General features: G+C 42.6%; 1 annotated feature.

The window, feature by feature from the left end:
* Positions 19396 to 19924: an enhancer, noted in NCBI's record as "OCT4-NANOG hESC enhancer chr12:101055348-101055876 (GRCh37/hg19 assembly coordinates)". NCBI's record gives its function as "activates a minimal SCP1, AML or CMV promoter by ChIP-STARR-seq in primed H9 embryonic stem cells {active_cell/tissue: H9 hESC(primed)}" and the evidence as "EXISTENCE:reporter gene assay evidence [ECO:0000049][PMID:30033119]".

A 20441-nucleotide genomic window follows, 5' to 3' on the forward strand; every position in this document is an offset into this window, starting at 1 on the left:
TGGAAGTTTTGTCTCAGAGGAGTACCCGGCCGTGTGAGGTGTCAGTCTGCCCCTACTGGGGGTTGCCTCCCAGTTAGGCTACTCGGGGGTCAGGGACCCACTTGAGGAGGCATTCTGTCCATTCTCAGATCTCAAGCTGTGTGCTGGGAGAACCACTACTCTCTTCAAAGCTGTCAGACAGGGACATTTAAGTCCACAGAGGTTTCTGCTGCCTTTTGTTTGGCTATGCCCTGCCCCTAGAGGTGGAGCCTACAGAGGCAGGCAGGCCTCCTTGAGCTGCGGTGGGCTCCACCCAGTTCGAGCTTCCCAGCTGCTTTGTTTACCTACTGAAGCCTCGGCAATGGCGGGCGCCCCTCCCCCAGCCTCACTGCTTCCTTGCAGTTTGATCTCAGACTGCTGTGCTAGCAATGAGTGAGGCTCCGTGGGCGTAGGACCCTCCAAGCCAGGCACAGGATATAATCTCCTGGTGTGCCGTTTACTAAGACCTTTGAAAAAGTGCAGCATTAGGGTGGGAGTGACCAGATTTTCAAGGTGCCGTCTGTCACCCCTTTCTTTGACTAGGAAAGGGTATTCCCTGACCCCTTGCGCTTCCCGGATGAGGTGATGCCTCGCCCTGCTTTGGCACACATTTGGTGCACTGCACCCACTGTCCGGCACCCACTGTCCGACACTCCTCAGTGAGATGAACCCAGTACCTCAGTTGGAAATGCAGAAATCACCTGTCTTCTGTGTCGTTCATGCTGGGAGCTGTAGACTGGAGCTGTTCCTATTCGGCCATCTTGGCTCCACCCCCCTCTATCCACTTTAATCCTGTTTCCTAACATACTTTCCCTAAACTGCTTTTGATAGTCTGATTCATTCACTCCACTTTTCCAGAACTCTGAGGTCAGTAGGTGGCATGTGTCTTCCAAGTGATTCCTGATGCCTTTGCTGTCTTCTGTACCAAGTCAGCCACAAACGCCGGCCCGTTATCTGAGCTGATTCATAAGGGCAGTCTGAACCTAGGAATGAGATCTCAGAGAAGCACACAGGTTACCTCATAGGCCTTTTCAGTTCGTGTTGGATAAGCCTCCACATACCCAGAGTAAGTACACACAAGAACCAGCAAATACTTGTTATCTCCACATTTCGGCATTTCTGTGAAATTTACCTGAAGATCCTCAAAAGGAGCCACTCCATAAGCTTGTATGCCGGGCAGAACAGTGGGGCCTTGCCTCGCATTGTGCTGTCAGCAAGTCACACACCACTATGCTACTGGTTTGGCAAGGGCTGGCAAGTGTGACATGTAGAAGTACCGGCCTAACAATTTTTCAAGTGACTCTTGACCTAGATGAGTGGTTTCATGCATGGCCAATACGATTGTGGCTCCCAGCAACTGCGGCACAGCTACTTTCCCATCTGGCAGTCTGATCCAGCCTCCTTTTATTACTTGTCCCCTTCTGCATGGAAGAAGTCTTTCTTCCCTAGAATAGGTAGGTACCAGTTCAGGTGTTTGAGGGAGTAAAGGGGCTGCTACTGATGCCCAGTAAGGGGTAGATGCTGCCTTTGGAGCTTCTGAATTAGCTCGAGAGTTTCCTAAGGCCACTGAGGTGGAGGCTCACTGGTGTCCCCTGCATGCATGACTGCCACCTTCTGAGGTTTCCACATTGCCTCTAGTAATTGTAGAGTTTCTTGTTGATATTTTATGTCCTTTTCCCCAGAGTTTAACAGGTCTTTTTCCTTATATAATGCTCCACGAACTTGGAGGGTTAGAAAGGCATATTGAGAGTCAGTGTAGATGTTTACAGTCTTACCTTCACTGAGTTCTAGCACCTGAGTTAAAGCAATGAGCTCAGCCTTCTGGGCTGAATTGCCCTGTGGCAATGGTTTGGCTTCAATGACAGCATTCAAAGTTACCACCGCATATCCTGCACATCTTTCTCCTTGTGGGTTGATGAAGCTGCTCCTGTCCACATATAAATCCTAGTCTACTGATGCCTATGACTGGTCCTGAAGGTCAGGTCTGCTAGAATAAACTGAGTCCAACACCTCTACACAGTTATGCTCAACCGGGCTCTCTGATATTGGAAGCAGGGTGGTGGGATTTAGGGTGTTACAGACTTCGATGGTTATGCGGGGATTTTTACATAGCAAGATTTGGTACTTGGTTAATCTAGCATTTGTTAGCCAATGATGTCCTTTGGTATTCACCAAAGTTACCACAGCATGGTGGGGGCCTTTATATTCAGGTTTTGCCCAAGGGTTAGTTTATCTGCTTCTTGTGCTAACAGGGCTGTTGCTGCCAGGGCCCTTAGACATGGTGGCCAGCCTTTGGAAACCCTATCTAGTTGTTTTGAGAGATAGGCCACTGGCCTTGGCCAGTACCCCACAGTCTGGGTTGAAACTCCAACTGCCATTTTTTCTCTTTCTGACACACAGAGTGTAAAGGGCTTTGTCAAATCTGGTAGTCCTAGGGCTGGGGCCGACATAAGTTTTTCCTTTAACTTACAAAAGGCTTGCTGTTGTAGAGGCCCCCATTCACAGGGCTCCCAGTCACCCCCCTTTGTAACCCCGTACAAAGGTTTGGCTAGCACTGCAAAGTTTGGAATCCATAATCTGCAAAACCTCACAGCTCCTAGGAATTCCCTTACTTGCCTTCTGGTTTTAGGTGCCGGTAGGCTGCAGATGACCTGCTTTCTTTCTGACCCCAGGCTGTGCTCCCCTTTCTGAATAGTGAATCCCAGGTAGCGTACCTGCTGTCTGCAGATCTGAGCTTTCTTCTTGTCCACCAGGTCCCGAAGCAGGGCATCCATCCCTTTTGCGCACCCGACTGCCGTGGAGTGTTCCAGCAGAAGGTCGTCCACGTACAGGAGCTAGATGCATCCTGGGTCTTTAGCATGAAACTTTTGCAGGTCTCCAGCCAGAGCCTCCCTGAAGATAGTAGGAGAGTTCTTGAACCCTTGGGGAAGTCGGGTCCAAGTGTACTGAGTAGTGATACCTGACTCCGGATCTTCCCACTGAAAGGCATACAGCTTCTGGCTCTCAGGAGCTATTCTGTTGCTAAAGAAGGCATCTTTTAAGTCCAGACAGGTAAACCAGCTGTCCTCAGCCGGCAGCAGCCCTAACAATGTGTAAGGGTTAGGAACTGTTGGGTGCCGAGTCACTGCAGCTTGGTTGACCAAGCGCAAGTCCTGTACTGGTCAGTAGTCCTTGGTCCCTGGCTTAGGGACAGGCAGGAGGGGTGTTCCATGGAGACTGGCAAGGAACTATAATTCCATAGGCTTTCAAGCACCTGAGATGAACCTGGATTCTTTCGAGAGCTTCCCTGGGAACCGGATACTGCTTTTGTCTAATTGGTTGGGCCCCAGGATTAACTTCTATGAGTATGGGGGCTTGGTTGACTGTCAGTCCCGGAGGATGCCCATACTCGAGGCCATCGCTTAGCTAGAGCTGGTTTTATCTCTTGTCCTGGCTCAGTTAGAAAAAGTCTCCATTCTTCTTCCCAGGGGACCGTAAGGGCCATGATAACTCCTGTTCCCGGTAACTTTAGCTGTAAAGAGCCCTGTTTTGTAAAGGAGATGGTGGCTCTTAGCTTGCTAAGCAAGTCTCTTCCCAGCAGGGGCAAGGGACAGTCAGGCATATACAAGAACTAGTGAACTATTTCATATCCCCCCACCGAGCAGGTCTGTGGTAGACAGAAAGCCTGCTTAGTGGAAACTCCTGTTGCTCAGATTATATCAATGGTTTTCTTGGATAAGGGGGTGACCTGGGGGGTCACTACTGAATGTTCAGCACCAGTATCGACCAAAAACTTAATGTCCTTGCCCCCAGTTGTAATCCTGACCGTGGGCTCCTTGGGGGTGCTTGAGACCGGTGCCTTTCAGTCCAGTAGCCCTTCAGCCAGATTGAACGAAGCTCCCTCACCTTTATCTGAGGTCTTTTGTTCCAAATCAGCTTGCTTTTCCTTCAGCTGGGGACACTTATCTTTCCAATGTCCTATTTCCTTACAGTAGGTGCATTGGTTACATTGCAAGCATGGACGATTAGACTGGGTATTCTTCCCGGAACCCCCCTTTCCCTGTCCTTTCAGGGGAATTCCCCTAATGGCCGCAGCCAGTAAGTCGGCATTTTGCCTAGCCTGGCATTGGCCTTCCTTATGGCTTTCTCTGTGGCTTGTTGCATCTCCATTCACAAACCCTTGATTGGCTATTTCCAGTAACTGTGAGGTATTCATACCTGCAAACCCAGCCTGTTTCTGCAATTTTCTCCTGATATCTTCCGTGCTTTGACTGACTAAGGCCATGTTAATCATGCGCTGATTTTCAGGGCTATCTGGATCAAAAGGAGTGTACATACGGTAAACCTCACATAGTCTTTCATAGAATTGTGCAGGACTCTTCTCTTTTCCTTGGATGACCTCAGAAACCTTATTTACATTTGTAGCCTTTTGAGCCCCTTTCTTTAGACCTTCTATTAATGCCTCACGGTGCCATCTTAGCCTCTCCATGTCTGGTCCCTCGTTCGAGTCCCATTGGGGGTCTGTTCCTGGCAGCTGAATTCATATATATTCTTGGGGGTTTTGGAAATCAGCTGGGACATGCTCCTCTAGCCACTTAGTTGCCACCCAGAGCACCCTTCGCCTTTCATCTGTATTAAAGAGGTACATGAGCAGCTGGTGGCAATCAGCCCAAGTAGGATTATGGGTCTGTATAATAATTTGGAGCAAGTCAATTAAAGCTTGAGGCTTTTCGGTGTAAGATGGAGTATTATTTTTCCAATTGAGGAGGTCAGCAGAGGCGGAAGGTTGATACACAAAGGCACGCCTTTCCATGTGTCCTTATTCATCTACCCCAGTACATTGCTGCTCTCTCAGGGGCACTTGTATTCCAGTCTTGGGCCATAAGCGAGCTGCCAAGGGAGGAGTTTCTCCCACGGCTTCACTTCCTCTTTTGTCTACTCTGGGTGGTCTAGGAGTGTGGCTATCTGGTGGAGGTGTAGGTGCTGTGGTCTCAGGAGTGGGGAGCCCTTCCTGTCGATAAGGGGTGGGGTACTGCTGGTACCAATTCCTGCCACGATTCTTCTGGTGTTGGGTCTGACAGGACTTTTGGTGCCGACTTCCCTTGGTGGTTGGAGAGAGAACCTTTCTTAACTAACTGTCCCTTTGCTACTAGTACTGCTGCTGCCTGTCCTCTTAACCACTGTGGGGGCAGGGGAGTGGTCCAAAACTAGCTGTAACCAAGAATCTATATACAGGAACTGATCTGGGTGCCCTGGCTTACAGGTTACCCTGTGCCATACCTTTGAGACAAGGGACCTGTCCAGGCTTCCTTCTGATAGCCAACCCACCTCTAATGCTGGCCAGTCTATCTCGCACAAAGTTCTAAGTTTTCCTGGTGTCATAGTAACTCCATAGTCTCCCTTAAATCCCTTTTTGAAATTTTTCAACATAGTTCCTAGTGGGGTGGGCTTATTTTGTGCCTGACCCATGTTCTCGAGACAAAACACCACGCTCACACCGCACGCACACCACAAAACAAAGAACGGGTAAAAAGGGCACACACACACTTTTTTAGTTTATACCAAACCAGAATCAGAACCAAAATCAGAGTATCAAGAAATTCAAGCCAGGTCAAAACCAAAACCAAAGTATCAAGCAATGCAAGTCAAGTCAAAAAAAAAAAAACCAAAGTGCCGGTATGGGCATGCAGTGGGTGGTCAGGCCACGCTTCCACTCAAATGGAGTAGGCAAGTTCCAAAGACTAGTCTTACCAAGTTTCAGATGTCTGGTCTCCAAGTGCCGGTTCCTTCCCAGTGTTCAGCCACTGCATTGATCCTCCACGGGGGCCTGCCATGCACTACTCCGGCAAGGCATTCCACCAGGGCAATTGCCTACCAGGGAGCGCTCTCAGGATCCGTGTCGCTCAAGCTGGCTGGAGTCCCCTGCAGGGATGCTCCACAGGGAAGGCCTAAGCCGCCTAAGGGGCTGCCTCAACCGTCCATTAATTGCTTCACTTCCCAGTCAGGAAACCAAGAAATGTAGCAGGACAAGCCACAGACAAAACCCCTCAGACACCAAGTTAAAGAAGGAAGGTCTTTATTCAGCCGGGAGCTTCAGCAAGACTCACGTCTCCAACAACTGAGCTCCCTGAGTGAGCAATTCCTGTCCCTTTTAAGGGCTCACAACTCTAAGGGGGTCCACATGAGAGGGTCTTGATCGATTGAGCAAGCAGGAGGTATGTGACTGGGGGCTGCATGCACCGGTAATTAGAACGGAACAGAACAGGACAGGGATCTTCACAGTGCTTTTCTTATGCAAATAACTGATTAGGTCAGGGGTCGATCTTTAACTACCAGGCCCAGGGTGTGGCACCAGGCTGTCGGCTTGTGGATTTCATTTCTGCCTTTTAGTTTTTACTTCTTTCTTTGGAGGCAGAAATTGGGCATAAGACAATATGAGGGGTGGTCTCCTCCCTTGATCTCATCTCCCTTCGTGTAGCCTGAGTTCCCAACTCTTTGCTCTGGTGCTCTGCCATGAATAGACTCTTGCCAATGTCAAAGTTTCTGCTCTGCTTTCTGTGTTTTCTTGTATCTTCACAAAAACAAAACAAAACAAAAAAAACCCTACCAATACCATTTGCCAGTCTAAGGTCTTAAGAGAGAATCTGATTGTCTTAATCACCATTGTGTCTTTTGGGGAGAGCATTTTGCTCTAGCCACTGCCTAGGTCACCAGTCAACCAATGAACTGGCTACCTTTAGATCACAGACTTTGACCAATTAGTGTGTGAATGGGTCATATGGTCTAGCGCATGGCTACCTTAGCACGAGGGTGAGAATAGCTTGGCTTACTTGTCTTAGCAGAAGCTGCAGCCTGGGCAGTTTTCCCTAAAAATCTGGGCATGATTGATTTGTGCAGTGCTCTTGGAAAACAAGTCTAGAATTTAGTTGAATTTTGTCTGAGCTACCTAGGGAGGTCATTTGTATTAAGGAACCATCAATTTCCAGCATTGACCTTTTAGGTCATTGAGACCACTGTGATGGAGATGTGTTCCCTGGACCCTCACAAGTTCAAACCTGTATTTTGGTGGCCAGAAATGTTTAAATATATGAATTTTTCTGAGGATGAGCATCTATAATGTCCTAATCAGCAAAATTGTGTTTTTTCCCTGGATTCTTGAGAATCACCTCCCTAAATGGACTCACAATGGGACTTTCCAAAGCCCTTTTCTGAATGAGAGATAAAATGTTCTAGAAGTTCACTTCTCAATTTCAAGAGGTGCTATCTCAACCCTTACACTACATTGTCAAAACAAGCTACAACAATGTAATCAGTTCCTTAATACTAGCAGTCAAACCAGTGCTTGGGAATCATGTAAATAAAACAATGGATTGGTTAACTTTTTCTGTTGGTGGTTTTAGTATTTTTTAGACATGGTCTGAGGTGCTCATGGTTTATTTTATGAGACACAATTATTCCTATCCATGAAATTCTGTCTCAACATGACTTCCAATGACTCCTTGAAACGGATTTTACCTGTCTTGACTCTGTTTTTCCCTCCTAAGAAATTTCTGTTAGATGATAGGGCACAACTGTATAAGTTAAAGATGATTTTTATTTAACCCTAAAGATGATTTTTATTTAACCCCCAAGCTTTGAAGCTGGTAGAGATGTTAAATATATTCACCACTTACCATGCCCATTTGCTTCCTAGTACAGCAGGACTTTGCTTTTCCTTGCAATTCTTCCTTGTTTAAATAATTGCAAAAAGAAGCCATTCGCAGATTTTACCCCCATATTTAGAACTTCTTTCTAAACCCTGAAGGGGTTCTGAGATTGCACTTAATTAGAACCTACTTTGTGCCAGACACTGTGCTGAGTGCTTTGCATATAGTAACTGATTTAATTTTTACCATTCTATAAGATTCTATTGTCATAATCCCCATTTTATGGATGAGGAAACTGAGACATTGAGAAACTTTTTCCATTCCTCTGCTTTTTGAGGAAGGTCTGACTCTAATAAGTCATCTCAAACAAATACTTGATAATGAGCTATTTAGCTTTCTCTAGAAGTGATGCCACTGGGCAGAAAAATATGCTGGTGATGCTGGTCACAAATGACTCAGGTGTGTTGGCCATGTCCCCAGGGTGCCTGGTTTGTGGCATGCCCATGTACACAGGGATACACACAGCACTTTGCCTCTCCCAGAGCAAGACCAACCAAATATACCCTCTCTCACGTCTTCAATTTGTCTCTTTTCCCAGCTTTTCCTTAGTACTAAAAACATGCTGAAGACTTCAATTGCTTTCTTTCTTCTTTTTCTCCCTGCTCCCTCACGCCCAAGTTACTGCCATGTATTGGTCAGGCTGGACTAGGCTTTGTTGCAGAAACAATAAACCATCTTTGTGCCTTGGGCAATAAAGGTTATGTCTGGCTCATGCTAGGTGTCCATCAGGGTCACCTGGGGCTCTGCTCATCGTAGTTGCTCAGAGACCCAGGCTGATGGAATCTTTGTCCTGACAAATGCTTTGGCAATTGATTACCATGGCAGGGAGAAGGGGGAATGGGAACAGTCAACCCCTTCTCTTTGAAACTCCTTTCTTGCTCCTCCCGCCATAGTTTTTCCGATTCTTCTATGATTCTGTGATCCCTCACTCCTGTTTTCTGACTTTTCTTCCTCCTCTGCCCTTTCCATGTATCTGTTTCCTAAGAACTATCTCTTAGCCCTCTTCTCTCCTAATAGATATCCTCTCTTGGCATTTCTTCCAAACTGTGGTTTCCAGTACCATTTCTGTGTGAATAATTTCCAGATCTTTATTTTCAGCTCTATTTCCCTGAGCCCCAATTCCATTGTCAACAGCCATCAGTCTTCAAATCTATCTAAAAAGGAATTTCCATCTCTACCAAATTTACATTTCCTCCTGGCTCTCCTATTTCTGTTAACTCCTCTCCTCTCCCAACATTGAAACTCAAACTATTTTAGAATGTGTCTCAAATCCATCCCCTTCTCTGTTACTGACCACGTTCATGGCCTCACCTCTCTCCTGGAAGACAATAGCTTCCTAATAGCCCTCTGACCACACTTTCAACTTTTCTAAATGGTTCAAGGCTGCACACTGTACAACTCTAGGAAGCACCATTCACAATGTATTCTAGGGGAATGGCGCCCCCTGGAGTTGTGCAGTGGAGTAGCTCTGCAGACCCCACCCAACTGACCTTACATAGCTCAAGTTGAATCCTGACACTCCACTGCTCAAAAACTTCCTTGGTTCCCCATTCCAACCTGAATGAAGGCCACATGCCTTGGCTCTGTCCCCTACAGGTTACGATGGAAGTCACCCTCCCTCTTCTGAAATTCCACATCTCTCCTATACCAAGTAGCACTTTCTATCCTGCATTTTACTGATTTAAGAATACTCTTACCTCCTCGATGTGTGAAAATTTACTTACTTGAGGTGTTAAATTAATAAAGATTCATTTGTTGCAAATGATAGGAAAACCCAAGACGAATGGCTTACGTTTAAAAAGATAATGCATTGGCTCACATCAATGAGCCTTGCAGAGAGTACATCCTACTGCTTGAGGCATGGCTGGATGTGGACTTACCCCAGATCCTCAGGATTCTCTCCCTTTCTTTCCATTTGAGGAAGCTGAAACCACAAAAGGCCTGTCTGGGGCAGCTGGAGCCAAGGATGCCACAGTAATGAGAGCAGAAGGAACACGCTGTCACTTTTCCCTTTTCCTCTCCTCCAGCGGCTCACTGGTGCCTTCCACTGGCTGACCCTGCAGTCTGGGACATGCAGCTGCACGGCTCAGAGCAGAGCAGATCAGGGGAACGAAAGGAGTGGGTATGAGGGCAAACAAGCAACCACCAGCATAAATACCTTTCTCAAAGTCCCACAACAGTAAGTGGTGGAGCCTGGCCTTGAACCCATAGCTGGGGCTTTGAATCCTGCCCCTCCACGCAGCAAGGAGGCATAAAAGTGCATTTCAGTCTGAGGCATCTGAGTGAGCCAAGGCCAGCTGGGAAAGTCTGGAAGGTGTATGGAAGTAGCAGAGAATTTATTTGGGCCGCAGTGTTAAGGTGCTTACAGAAGAACAGTGGCAAATAGGAGTACATGTTGCATAAAGCCTAGAGGACTGGGCTGGAGTTTGGTTTTTGTTCAGGATGCAAAAGGAAAGTTACCAAAAGAAAAGGAAAAGTTAAGGTAAGTTATAGCTATAAAAATGTCAGAAACAGGAAAAAAAAAACTTGGACTCACCTCAAATAAAATCAAGATACAAAATGAAATAATTCTAAAGAGCAAAAATTACAATACCATAAAGAGTTGATTTGTTTCCTAATTTTTGTATGGTTGCCATCCTGGATACTGATAACAGAAATCAGGAATGAACATTCCTTTATTCCTTCAAGTGAAAACCTACTATGAGCTGGGGACTGTGCTGGAGTTTTAGAGGATGGCAACATGAACCATTTGTTGGGCTTTTCTAATATTTCTCTTGTCTTTTGAAGTGCAGGTGAGCGCCCCATGTCATGACCTTTTGTCTGAAAAGAGATCTGAGGCGTACAGAAAGTACGTTGAAAGGTTGTTCACTTTGTACTCTTTGTGTGGTTTTAAATCTCAAGGTTATATGCTCTGGTTGGCTTTGTCTGAAGTTAAATGGCCTGACTTGCAAATAATATTGATGGAATGTGCACAAAAAAAGAAGTGACCACAAAGACAGAAAATGTCTCTGGGTGAGGGCAGTAAACTGGGAGATTTTTGCATGTTTCTTGGGGTAAGACTGACTAGTTATTAAGCCCCTTGATGCTTCTATTTTTAAAATCACAAACTGATAATACTTGCCATGTAATCACAAGTATATCATTCACATCTTCTACAATACAGATGTAGAATGCCTGATTTGGAATCATACAGTAGGCATATCAAAAAGGAACACTATATATTATATAAACTGGACATCTGCAGATGGCTAACTTCATCATTTTGAATCAACAAGCAGCGAGTTCACATACATGTATCCCTAGGTAGTTGAAAAATTTAGTCCAACCTCCCCCATAACCTAAAACTTATGTAACCAATTTATTTATTTATTTATTAAACATTTGTTTAGCACCTGCTATCTTCCATAAATTCAACAAAGATTTATTAATTGCCTATATGTGTTCAGCTATGTCTAATGGTGAACAAAATAAAAATGGGTTGACCCCTCATGGAGCTTACACTCTAATGGAAGTGGCATCTACACCTGTGGTTTGGTGCAGATTGTGCTGTGAAAAACCTCATTCTTTAGCAGGGACGACAGACTTATAGTCAGCACAGCTGCAAACACAATGTGATGAGTGCATGAAAGTGTGCTTTGGGAATGAGCGGTGATCTCTCTGAGTGCCCAGGCAAGGCTTTTCCAAGAAGCGAATGCAATAGCTGGACCTCAAAAGAAGAGAAGGAGCTTCTGGACATTTGAAGAAATACATTTTAAGTTGAAGGAGTGACAGGATGCTGAGACATGGAAATGGGAAACAGCATTCACAGTTTAGAATGTGGGGCTTTGAAGGTGTGGGAACAGTGGTCAAACCAAGTCATGTGTAGCCTTGTGGGCCACGTGATGGAGTTTGGGTTTAGTGGGAGGCATATGGAGGTGGTTGATGAATGTGAAACAGAGGAATGACATGAATGGGTGTGCCCTTTAAGAAACCATCTACAAGCACTAAAACTCCAGGAACTACGATCAACGTAAGTTGGCCATTCTCTGGGTGGGGGTGGGTGGGGGTGTGTGTATGAGAGAGGAGTCTAGGAGGCTCTCACACTTCTGTCTGTTTGCAGCAGCCTCTATTTGACCTCCAGACTCCAGACTTTTCATACTAAACACGTTATGCAGGCCACAACCAGGTCTATCTTCTTTGAACATATCTTTTGCCATGTAGCATCTTCACTCCAAAATTTTGAGTGTTTTTTTTGGTTTTTTTGTTTTTTCCGAGATGGAGTCTCGCTCTGTCATCCAGGCTGGAGTGCAATGGCACCATCTCGGCTTACTGCAACCTCCCCATCCCTGGTTCAAGCTATTCTCCTGCCTCAGCCTCCTGAGTAGCTGGGACTACAGGTGCCCGCCACCACACCCAGCTAATTTTTGTATTTTTAGTAGAGACAGGGTTTCACCGTGTTACCCAGGATGGTCTTGATCTCCTGTCCTCGTGATCCACCCTCCTCAGCCTCTCAAAGTGCTGGGATTACAGGCGTGAGCCATTGCACCTGGCCAATTTTGAGTGTTTCTTACACCACAAATGTGAATTTTTGAACTTCCTTTGAAAGATCTTCATTGAGTTTTAAAATCCCCTACTCATCTGAACACTCCTGTTCTCACTGTTAAACAAACATTCTGTCCTCTTTCATCTCAGTGCCCTTGCTATCTTCTTGCTAGGTATCCTAAGTGCACCAACCTCCAAGACTAGTTTAAACCTCATCGCCTTCATGCGGCCTTCTGACCACTTCATGCCTACCTGCTCCACTGTACCCTCATCTATTGTAGCTTGGAGCTAAGTGCATAATACTAGACTATAATAAGCTTCTCCAGGCAAAGAATTTTTGTCTATTTTGTCCTCTACTATATTCACACACTAAGAATAGTGCTTGGAAGATAAGTAGGTATTTGACAAACATTTGTTGAATAAATGAATGAATGAATGAATGAATGACTATGAAGTCCTTTATAAAAATTTAACAAAGAAAACACTATCAAGAATAAAACACTTAGTAAATCTGATCATGCATTGAGTCAACAAGCATGTACTGAGTGAATGCTATGTGACAAGCATTGTGATAGCTTCCGGGTATTCAAAAAAATAATTAGATTTGGAGTTCATCCTCAAAAAGTTCACAGTGAGAACAAAATCATTGTCCTACAGAATCAAATTCTGGTGAATATTTACATTTTCACACACATTAAAAATCAGTAGGGAACAATATAACCAGTACATTTTTGTTAAAAAGAAAACAAGAATTTTATGTCCTTTAGATTTCAACATTTTAAAAGTCTGATAATACCAAAACTTGATGAAGATGGGTAGCAACAGCAACCTTCAAACATGGCTAGTGGGAAGGAAAATTAGATGCTTTCTAATTTTGGAGTGCTTTCTCAGTTATTTAGTAAAGGTGAAGATGTGTGTATAAGACAATCCAGCAATTTCAGTCCTACATAGAGAAACTCTCAGATGTGTGCACATGGAGACATGTACAATCATGCTAATTACAGCACTGTTTAAAATGAACAGCTAGAAAACAACCGAAATGTCCCATCAATAGCAAAAGGGATAAGTAAATTATGATTGTATCCAGAAATGGAATCTTCTGAAAGTGAAAATAAATAAACTCGAGCTATAATTATTCACATAACTCAATCTCATAAATATATTGAATGAAAAACAAGTTGTAGAATGATAATTCAGCAAGATCCTATTTCTGCAAAGTGTAAACATAGAAAATAATACAATATGTTATTTGTGGCTTGATATATATGTAATAAAAGTAAAAAATATGCCTGATAGGGTGACTAACCATCCCGGTTTGCCTAGGACTTTCCCTGTTTTAGCTCAGAAAGTCCTGTATCTCGGGAAACTCCTCAGTCCCAGACAAACCAGGACAGTTGGTCACCTTACCTGAAAAAGATAAACACTAAGCCTAGAATGGTGGTTACTTCTTGAGGAAGTGAAGGAAATGGGATTGGACAAGGTTATACTGGGTATAATTCAGCTGAATTTGTAATGTTCTATTTCTTAAGCTGGATTATGAGTATGTGAGTGAGACAATTCAATGCATTCCGATTGGGAGCACAGATCCGATAGAGTAAAAATAAATTAGAAAAAAAAGTGTATCTCAAAGCAGTTATTTATCCATGAACTTAACAGGTTATGGAGAAAGGGCGATCATTTCATCTTTGACCATAACCTTAAAACTGCCAAGAGCAAGAGCCACCTCATCTGAGATGTTTCTTTGAGTATTTCTCCCTCCACTCTCACCACCATCCCCTCCCAGTCCTTTCACCTGTACAACGATTGCAGAGCTTCTGGAAATACACACACATACACACAGACACACACACGCACTAGGCACTCAGAGCCAACATTCATACAGTAGTTTCCTGAACTACTTGTAAATGTCTCTTGTCTCTCTTAGCCGAGTTCCCTGAGGGCAGGGTCTGCTTGACACTACCTTCACATTCTGCTGGCAGGAAGGGGAGTGCTCCAGAGCCAGGGCCCTGAAAGTACTTTACATCATGATTTTACCACTCACTAACTCTGCGATCTTGGGAAAATAACCACACCTCAATGTCCTCAACTATAACATGAGGATAGCACTCCTTATAAGGCAGATATGAGGACCAAGTAAGAAAATGCTTCTAAAACATTGAGTGTGATGCTTGGGAAATATGCTGAGCCTAATATGGTTGATAGGTAAAATTTTTTAAAATTAAAAACTAATTCTAAAGTATAGGAACAAAATATATTGCATACATATTTCAATACCATGCAAATTATTTTAAACTGTGATATAGGATTAAAATAAATCTAGTAAGGAAAGACAGGAGGAATGAGCTTCACATTCTTACCCAACCATCTGTAGAAATATTAAAATTAGAACATTTTTATGACAGAGAATTGTCATGTTCGTTGAACTGAATTGTGAAAAAAAATGGTCAGGTTCTGTTTAATGTAACTATTCCTATGAGACTAATTAAAGTCTGAAGCTCTGTTTCTTTTTTTGGAAGCCATGTCTGCTTAAAATGAGCTCTAATTGTCCCTATTTACACACTGACTGCAGAGTGCCCATCCTGCAGCAGACAACTCTGTAATTAGCTCCATTCAAGAACAAAGCAGTGACCATCTTTCAGCTGCTTTCTGGCTTTTGAGCTTAGGAAGCAAAGAAGAGTTTTTCTGGCTCTCTTGCAAAATGGAATTTAAATCTGCCACAAGCAATCAGTTGCAAGAATGATAATTGCACAGTTTGTTACAATTGATTTATACAGGCCCCAGGAAAGAATGAAGATCTCCTGACTAAAATTGTCAAATGAATAATTAATGATATGTGAAATTTTCCTTCCTTGGGATTTTATTGGCTGCATCTAGAATAAACTGGTAATGCTGACCTATTACTCATGCAGTGTATAAACCAGCTGATATTTTGGGACTGTCTGTCAATCGCTCTCATAGATATCATCCTCTTGAATAGTCACCATGATCTGCTTCATATTCAACATTCTGCACTTCTCAGATGAAGAACTTTCAATGAAAAAAATTAATTGAATTACAACTTGTAAAAGAACAAATGCAAAGGTTAAAATTGTGCTACTAAGTCCACAAAACTTTTAAGCATCACCAAAATCTTTTACAAAGGAGCATGTGAACCAGATTAGTGCCCCTCCTCCCCCACAACACACACACATGCACATGCTCATTCAGCTCAGAGGAAATGGAATGATTCCACTTGGGTGTGTCATACAACTATCTATTTTGCTTGTTTAACCCCATCTATAAGTCTTTTTTATTATGTGAATTTAACCCATCTACATTTATTGTGATTACTGATGTATTTGAACTATCTGCCAATTGCTCTGTTTCTATTTTGTCTTTTGCTTCTTTTTTCTCTTTTCTTGCCTTCTGTTTTCTTCTTTCTCCTTTTTCTTTTCAACAGTTTGCAAACTTTCCATTTCTATCATTTCGATGGTTACATTAAAAATGTTAGTACACATACAAAATGCAACTCTTAAATGAAACAAGGAACTTAGCATGCTTGTCTTCTCTTTCAACCCCACCCACCACCATCTTTTCATATTATTATTATCTAGAATGTCAGGTCCCTCTTGTCTTTAAATAAGGAAAAATAATTATTCCTATTTTTTTGCAGCCCATAATTATTTCTATTTTTTAGTCAGTAATTGTATCCTTCCCCTTTTTCAAGGATTTATTTCTCCTCCTTTAGTAATTCTGTGGGAGAAGATCTTTGGATAATAAACTAAGTAAGTCTTTGCATGAAGATGTCCATTTCATCCTTACTTTAAAAAAATTATGCTTACCTTTGTGAATAGGAAATCTCATCACATGATACAAAACTCAAGTAAGCTAAATGTTGTCTCAGTTGGATATAGAATTCTAGATTGAATATTGCTTTCCTGAGGCATCGATATCACTCTATTTGTTCTGGCATCCACTTTTACTGATTAGAAATTTTCCATCATTCTGATTGTCACTCACTGTAGTTTCTCTCTGGTGGCTTTTAAGGATTTTCTCATTCTTCTTAATGTTCTGGTTATTGTGCTTCTACAAGGTGCTTAGAATGGAAATTTTTTAAAAAGTTGTCCTGCATGGCACTTGATATACCTTTTTACCCTGAAGACTCAGGTCAGATTATAACAATCTGTCTTTCATGTCTCTAAACTTCACTTTCATATTTTCTGCCACTTTATGTCCCTGGCTGTTTTCGGTGATGCCCCGACTTTCAATCATTAATGCTTTCTTTAACTGAATCCAGTCAACTGCATTCAGACTTTCCAGGATTTTTTTTATTGGTACCTTTTCATAACTCATTGTTCTCCATTATAACCACCATTGTTGGATATTCTCTCTTTTATCTCTTTCAAGATTTTAAACATAGTTCAAAGTCCTTTGGGGATTGCTGTATTTCTATTTCTTTGGCTATAAAATGTCCTATTTGTTGGGTTTGTTGGATCCCTTTCATGGATTTGGATTAACTCATGAATTGGTAAGCTTGTGGCCTCAGTCCTCTTTTATTACTTGGAGGACTCTTTTTAAAATCATGATTATAGATTTTTAAATGCAAAAGTATATAAGCTATTATTTTGATGTATCTGGGTTGGAAAAAAAGTTCCATGTGCTCTTACTTCTTCACTGTGACTGGAAATTAGCTTATTTGATTAAAAAAATAAAAGTCTGAAAGAAAAAAATAAAGCAGAAAAAATATATCAAATATGTTTGGATAAAGTTAAATAGGACACAATGAAAAAAATTCACATATAGATTATAGCTCTAGGACATTTTTATCTAAACTTGAGTTTCTTTGGTTGGATGAGGTGTATTTAAATGCATTGTTTCACATTGTTTCACAAGATAATTGTGAATTATGAAATCACTCACTTGTTTTTTTTTAAATTCAACAAACATTTATTCAATGCCTCTGCACAGAACTGTATTAAGTATAGTTATACAAAGACCAGCAGGCCCTAGTGTTTTCATCTGTAAAATGGAAGTATTAGGATAGTCCATGCAAGGTGGTTGTAAAGAGCAGAAATGAAGACTATAAATTGCCTAGCAGACTTCCTGGCATATTGTAGGCATCTAATAAACGCAATAGTTATTCTCTTTGTCATCATGGAGATCGTGTGAGTTTTGAACACAAACAGGTAAACAGATATTCAAACACACAAACACTTTTAAGACACACACGAACACTTTTAAGACACAAAGAAGGGAGTGATCAACCGTGCTTGTGATGGCTGGGAAGTCTTTGTATAGTAGAAGACACTTGAACTGGGTCCTGAAGATTGAGTAGGAGTTTGCTAAATGGAAAGTTTAGGGAAAGTGGAAAACCACATTCAAAGACATGGACACTTGACACTTGTATTGCATTCTGGGAGTTGAAATTGTATTGTATTGCGGGAATTGAAAATACTCAGGGTATGTGGAAGATGTGGGGTGAGCAGAAGCAGGGAAAATGTGTTCGAAGAGGGTAGGCAGAGTCCAAGAAAAGAGGGAGGGGCATTTCAGTTAGATGCTGCAACAGTTTGGTGGAGAGACGATGAGGGATGCAAGTCAACAAAGATTGTAGGAGTGAAGAGTTGGGAGAAGACTTCAAAACAGTTGGGAGATAAAATATACAGTACTTGACAGTGATAGAATGTGGAAGTTCGAATGCCAATAAAACCACAGCTGTCGGACTTGGGCAAGTTACTTAACCTCTCTGGGCATTTGCTTCCTCAACTGTAAACTGGAAATAAAAATAGGACCTACTTCATGGGGTTGTATTAATGATTAAGAAAGACAAGATCTGTATAGCATTTTTAAAATCACCTAACTCACAGAAAGTTTCAATAAATAACTATGTGGGATGTGGAGGGTGCTGGAGGAGCCAGTGATGAAGCCCAGGTTTCTAGCTTAGCAACTGAGAGGTGGCTGCTGCTGCTACTCATGGAGACAGGGACCTCAGAGGAGGAACAGGTTTGCCTCCGAGCTCCTCCCTATCAATTAGGAAGAATCAAGCTATTGTTAGGGTCAGCTGGAACAAGCCTCCAAGGAGCTAGGCATCTCCTTCCTTAGACAAACCAGTTCAGAGCTTTCATCTGTACCATGGCTGTGGGCAAGCAGAATACACAATCCAGGGAGCAAAATGTAGGGCCTAAGACGGAAATGTCCAGGAAGTCCTCGGGAATCTCTGGTCACCTTACAGCTGTAATGAGAACTGTACTGAAGGCGGCTGAAAAAAAATAGGAGCATTTTAGGAAGCAAGACTAAAAATAGCTATGCTCTGTTTGGAAGCTGAGAGGAAGAAACCATCCACTAAAGGATCAAACTCGTTATCTTATGATTTTCATTGAGGATTTGTGTAAGTTTCCATTTGCTAATATCATGTCCTCATGTTCAACAGTTTTTTAGGCCATATTATTTCATGTCACCCTGTAGTGAAATAATACAGCCTTGTATTATTCTTGTATTATTATTAATACAAGAATTAATGAATTAATCATAAAACAAAAATTATTATCTTGTATTATTATTCTTGATGGTCAAGAAGAGATATTATTATCTCCATTTTACAGATGAGAAAACTGAGGCTCAGGGAGATATTATTTGCTCAAGTCCTCATAGCCAGAAAATATGTCAGAATCAGGACGAGTGACAAATATTTTGATTTCCAGTTCCTTTCTCTTTCCCTTTCTTGTTATTGCTTCTTGATGTGCATCTTATTCGTGGGGAACCCTTCTTCCCATCTCATGATGTCTCTTTCCTATGAAGAACTCTCAGTCAGTTTAACTCCTGGCTCCTTTCCCTTTTCTCAGCCCACCCCAGGGAGGTAGTAACTTCCTTGATTGGTAAATTTGAGAAGAATTTCACACTTTTTTCTCTTATGGAAGGAGACTGTCGGACCAGAGAGAAATTCTACTCTGCTCTTCAGTTCTAAAAGGTAAGGGGATAGGACAGCTTTTTGGATTCATTTCTTCCTGGAATTTGGTGCTTAAATCTCCTAATCTTGTCAGCAGGCTCATTCAGTTACTACCCTAAACTTTGCCCTTCCACCTAGCTTCTGTAATGAATAACGTTGTTATTTTGGTTTCTATCTTTAGTCATTAGTTTATTTCCCAAATTGCTCAGAACCTGGACAGAGAAGGGTCCTATTCATTGGGGGTTCCCTTGGAGACCTCCTACATATCTGCAATACTCTAGAGAGTTTAGAAATAAGAATGAAGTATGAGTTCAAACAATCATGGCCAGATATGACAGTAACCACAGGAAGTGTTACATGACTCAGAAAATATGTTAGACATGGGAAAGGAAAATATCTTGGGCCCATATCACTAAGCTAAAGAGAGAATTCAAGCTGGGAACTGCTTAGGGCACCTGCCTCCCATTCTATTCAAAGTTTTCCCTCTGCTCACTGAGATAAATGCACGTCTGATTGCCTCCTTTGGAAAGGCTAATCAGAAACTCAAAAGAATGCAACGGTTTGTCTCTCACCTACCTGTGACCTGGAAGCCGCCTCCTAGCTTCCTCCACGTTTCCTGCCTTTGCTTTGAGTTGTCCCACCTTTCCAGACCGAACCAATGTACTTCTTACATATACTGATTGATATCTCAGGTCTCCGTAAAATGTATAAAACCAAGCTGTGCCCCAAACCCCTTAGGCACATGTCGTCAGGACTTCTGGAGGCTGTGTGGCGGGTGCATGTCCTCAACCTTGGCAAAATAAACTTTCTAAATTAACTGAGACCTGTCTCAGATTTTCTGGGTCCACAGACATTAACATAAGTTAGCTTGGAGAAGCGACTTATGGTATAAGTAGCAATTAATAGATGAAAATGCTGAAAAAGAAACCCATTTTCTTAGGAGAAAAATCAATGGACTAGATAACAAATTAACCTCTATTCACTGCTTAGGTCTCTAGGAGAAAAATAAAATCCATATAAACCAAGTATGCAGTAGTTGTAAGAAACAGCATCATAAGGCCGGATGCGGTGGCTCACGCCTGTAATCTCAGCACTTTGGGAGGCCGAGGCAGGCGAATCACGAGGTCAGGAGTTCGCGACCAGCCTCATCAACATGGTGAAACCTGTCTCTACTAAAAATACAAAAAAATTAGCCAGGCGTGGTGGCACACACCTGTAATCCCAGCTACTTGGGAGGCTGAAGCAGGAGAATTGCTTGAACCCAGGAGGCAGAGGTTGCAGTGAGCCGAGATCGC

This window comes from Homo sapiens, chromosome 12 (genome assembly GCF_000001405.40).
Source record: "Homo sapiens chromosome 12, GRCh38.p14 Primary Assembly".
In the NCBI taxonomy this organism is placed as follows: Eukaryota; Metazoa; Chordata; class Mammalia; order Primates; family Hominidae; genus Homo; species Homo sapiens.